Genomic DNA, 4,928 nt, shown 5'->3' with positions numbered 1-4,928 from the left:
CCACCCCTCTAGGTGTAGAGAGCAGCGTTTGTACATCAGATGGCTTCAGTGGCTTCTTTCATTACATATTCATGTGGATTCCACCTTTGCCTTGTTCATTAGGGGCATCAGCCCCTTCAAAATCTTCTTCATGAATGGTCAGCTCATTTAGCCCTTCAACAGCTTTGTTCCAGATGACATGGATATGGATAAGAATGAGGAACTATTGGTGCCTTTGGCCATGCTTCCTCAATGAGCTAGGTGGAGATCCACAGCGAGTACCAGGACCTCTGTTTTCTTGGCAGAAGGGTCAGGACTGACCTGTGGTTCAAATGGTGCAGGTATCTCTGGAATAAATCTATCATGGCTCCTCCAAGTGCACGAAGGTCACAAAGTGGTGACCCAACCCTGATGGGAAAACTGTTGGGATCGAGAGGATATTGTCATCCAGCATGGCTTCCCTAAGCAGGGCATTGCCTTGTCTGACAACATCTATGCAGATATCACTTTGTGTTCAAAGATAAACCTATTCACACTTCTGTTGGAATGGCACCAAAGTGTTCCATGTTAACCTGATCAGGCAAAAAGTCCTGGGGCTTGGATTGGGTTGTGTGTGTTTGGGAGCCATGATTAAGTATGATGGGAACATTCCTGTTCCTTTCCATCTGCTTCATTCTTTCTCCTTTCCATCCCTTTTCCTTTTTTTTTTTTTTTTTTTTTTCCCACTCAAGCACCTATCAAGCTTTCTGTCACTCTCTGTCCCATTTTTCTCCAGGCTCTGTGTGGCTGCACCATGAGCACTTCCACCATGGAAGGGCAGGTGATCCCTTTGTCTTGCATGAAATCATCAAGAATGACTCTGTGAGGAGCATTCCCTTGAGAAGATTCCCACTGGTAGGGAAACCTCATGGCCCAGTTCAAAATTTGCTCCCAGACAAATTAATACTACAAACATCATGTGAGAACATAGCAAGAAGGTGGCCATCTGTAAGCTAGAAAGAGAGCCCTCAACAGGAACCGACCGTGCTGGCACTCTGATCTCAAACTTCCAGGCTTCAGAACTGTGAGGCAATAATTCCTGTTGTTTAAGCTATCCAGTCTATGGCTTTTTTTGTGGAACCCTGAGCAGAGTAAGACAAGGCAATTTTTCTATTCTTGGCTTTGAATGTAATTCTCATCTTGAAGCTGAAGAGTGACCAGAGTGCCACTTGGAGATCTATAAAGATGTCTTGTTCAAGCTTGAAAATGGAATGTCCTCCTTTTCCTCTTAGCTCTGGTAAGACCTTAGGTCTGGTGAGACCTTTCCTCTGCCTCCAACCCCACACTCCAGAATCCACCTGTTGGGGGAAGCAAGAGATGAGAAAGGGGACTCTTCACCCTCCCCACCTCACATAGGTCTACAGTGCCCAGCAGGAGGTAGTTGAGGTTCCTGCACATACATTCATCCACCTGCATCACCCACTGAGATGTTTGCAGGGTTACTGGGGTTGAAACAGAAAGGAAGGTAGGTCACTGATGAACACCTTTATTTGGGGGGAAGGAGATGAACAAGGCCCAGAGCCACTTCCCTGACAGCTCCACACCAATACACCCACAGCACTGGAATGTCTATGTTCCTACTGTTCTAGAGTATGCACAAGGGTAGAGAAAGGGCAGGGTGGACTGCTGTCCTTTTACATTAATACTAAGTCAAGAGGTGAGAAGCAGGCCCCAAATCCCCAGACTTCATCGATAAAAAATCAGGATCCTGGGGAACGACACCTACCATTCCCCACTAGGAGATTCAGGTCAGAGACTGCTCCCCAGCTTCTGAACTCAGACTCAAGTACTCCCAAACTTCCAGTGTCTGCAGTTGTGATATGTGAAGCTACTTGGCTCTTGCCCTTCCTGAAAGCTTAGTGGGGGCATTTGGCTCTGTGAGGGCCTCCACAGTTGCACAAAGAGTGAGATGTGAGAATGGGGGAAGGGATGGCTGGGATAGTTTCTGTGGGTGGGTCATTACTTGATTTTTTTCATTTTCAAAAGTTGCTGAATATTTGTATAGAAGGTTTTCTTATTTTTCCCCACTGACTACTTTATGAAATTATTATGTATTTCAAAAAATAAGTCATTTTAGCAGATTGAAATAAAGGATCCTGGAAGGTGGTAGGAACACATAGCCCCTCTCACTTCCCTCCGTGTGCCTGGCCATAGCAAGCACTCAGCTAAGCTGGCTCCTTCCTTCCCACAGCCCAAATTCCTGGGATATGTCAAACCTCAACCCACATCATGGCACAGAGAACCTCGCTTTCCTATTTGAAGAGACAGTGGTAATTGAGAAAGGTAAATGTCATTGATTACAAAAAGTGGAGGTCATCCTCTTCAGAGGTTGTGTTTGTGTGAGAATCAAAGTTGCCGAAACTGGATAGAAATATTTATTCGAGCAAAAGTTTCTTCAGCGGAGGGACTGGAAGAGGTCTTTCTGGTGGACAATGAAACATACAGCCCCAAAGATGAAGACGAGGTCCTGAGCTTCCGCTTCCTGCCACGCTTGTTGTGTCTTGGTGGCTCCTGGATGGGAACAGAGGCTTCCTGGTGGCTTCAGGGCAGGTGGGCACCTCAGCACAGTTGTTGATTTTGGGATTTCAGGATTTTCCTGGCATGTCTGTCTCTCTCTTTTATCTTCCTATCTTTATCTAGAAAATTCACCACTTGATGTTTAAAACAAAGTACACGCATTACTTTAGTAAAAAAATAAAAATAAAAATTAATGTAAAACATAAACAAACAAACAAACAAAAAACCCCACAAGCATTTATCACAGGTTTTATTGTAAAAATCATCAAGTAAACCTAAATAGGGATTTGTTGATTTATTTTAGAGTCAGGGTCTTTCTATGTTGACCAGACTGTTCTCTAGCTCCTGGGCTCAAATTATCCTCCCACCTCCACCTTCTAGAGTGCTGGGATTACGGATATCAGCTACTGCACCCAGCCTAGAATGGATTTTCCAGGCATGGTGGCTGACGTCTGTAATCCCAGCCCTTTGGGAGGCCGAGGTGGGTGGATCACCTGAGGTCAGGAGTTTGAGACCAGCCTGGCCAATATGGTGAAACCTGTCTCTACTAAAAATACAAAAATTAGCCGGGTGTGGTGGTGGGAGCCTGTAATCCCAGCTACTTGGGAGGCTGAGGCAGGAGAATTGCTTGAACCCAGGAGGCGGAGGTTGCAGTGAGCCGAGATGGCGCCGCTGTACTCCAGCCTGGGCAACAAAGTGAGACTCTGTCTCAAAAAAAAAAAAAAAAAAAAAAAGGATTTTATGATTTTATGAGATTTCCTATTTCCATGAGCTTATCAAGACTAGATATGTTGAAATGCCCTCCCACTAGAAAATACCCAAATAATGGATAAGTTAGAGTAAACACTCTTTGAATTTTGTTGCTAAGCTCAAAGGAGAATAAGGAAAGTCCTAATTTTTTTTAAAGACAAAAACAAATAAAATAGAACTGAAACTAGTAGGGTAAACCTGCTCAATTACTTGTTCAATACTTGACCTGGGGGTAGAGGTGGGGCCAGCAACTTGTGGTATTCCAGCATCTTTTCAGGGACAGAAGTTCTTTTAGTTTTTGTTTTGTCTCATTTAACCTTATGCGTGTCTTTGAAAGTGCAATGCTTCGATTACTAAGGTTTTATGACTATTATCAACAAAACATTCTATAAGTGTAAGGGGTAACTCTCTTCAAGGACATCATTCCACTCTACTGAGGCTCCCTGTTTCTTACATGCTTAGTGTAGAAGTTCTAGCAGCTGCCTGGCATTATTTTTTCTTGCAGAGAAATAAGACCATCCAAGTAAATATTATAATTAGGACCATAATGGCACATTTTGATTGCTTTTAATAAATAACACCAACCAGAATTTTTCTTAGATGTGACACTAATAATCACTAATGGCCAAACTATTAGATTTATATCAGAAATTCTTGGCTGAAAATTTTTATCAGTACAGGCTACAATATTATCTAAGCAGAAAATGAATGTAAAACTTTCTGCAGTTGTCTCATTATCTTGTCATAATCTCCAAGAATTCATAAGAGAAAAATGCAAGGAACTAGGAGCTGGTATAGCTCAGCAGGCATTTTGTGAAGAGAATATGGGTAAAATTAGAATAAAGAGAACAGGATTGGAGCATCGTTCACAAGTCTAGGCCCTGTTTGGTCTTCGTGTTTTGGAAACATTAGCAAACTATGGGTAAAAGTAAAAAGTTGACATTTGTATACGGTTAGAATTGAAAACTATCTTGTCCACTTAAAACTTTAGTATTACAGAATTTTGCTTTTTAATTATCAAAGTGGTCAGATAAAGATGGCTTATGTTGACGTAAGTCATAGCAAAGCCATGACTCATTTCTTTTTGTGATTAAATCATGTGGCTTTTCATCTTCAGAAAATTTAGAAAGATGACAACATTGTCATTTATTTGCAATTCGCCCTTCCACTCTCCTTCCTAAAATTCAACCTTTCCATTTCTTTTACCTTCTTGAGCTTCTTTAATTATCAGCAAACTCTTTATGGGCTCAAGGTTTATTTCACCTTTCTATTAATAAAAAGAAACAGGAAAAGAAATTGGGATTTTTATGAAAAATGTTAAAGGCTAGCTCTGTTAGGATTTCCCATGACATTGCAGTGGTGACATGGTCGTGGATGTGCCAAGGAAAGCCTGAGCTGTTGACTGCTGCCCCAGTAGCATCAGAGAACCACTGTGCTTGCTGAGACCAATGACTGCCATTCTGGACAGGGCAGCCTTTGGCAACATTCAGAAGCAAGCTGTTTGTCTTCAGTCCCCTCTCTTCAGCCTCCAAATTTGTCATTATTGCTTGGTGGATGGAGTACCCTATACTACCCCATGGCTCTCCAAAACCCTTTTCCTCCCAGCCAGGAGGCCCAGGTCTGCGCATTCACTCACTCGATTC

Source organism: Homo sapiens, chromosome 9 (assembly GCF_000001405.40).
Source record: "Homo sapiens chromosome 9, GRCh38.p14 Primary Assembly".
Lineage (NCBI taxonomy): Eukaryota > Metazoa > Chordata > Mammalia > Primates > Hominidae > Homo > Homo sapiens.
The sequence above is the reverse complement of the archived record's forward strand: the minus strand, read 5'-3'. Positions refer to the sequence as shown.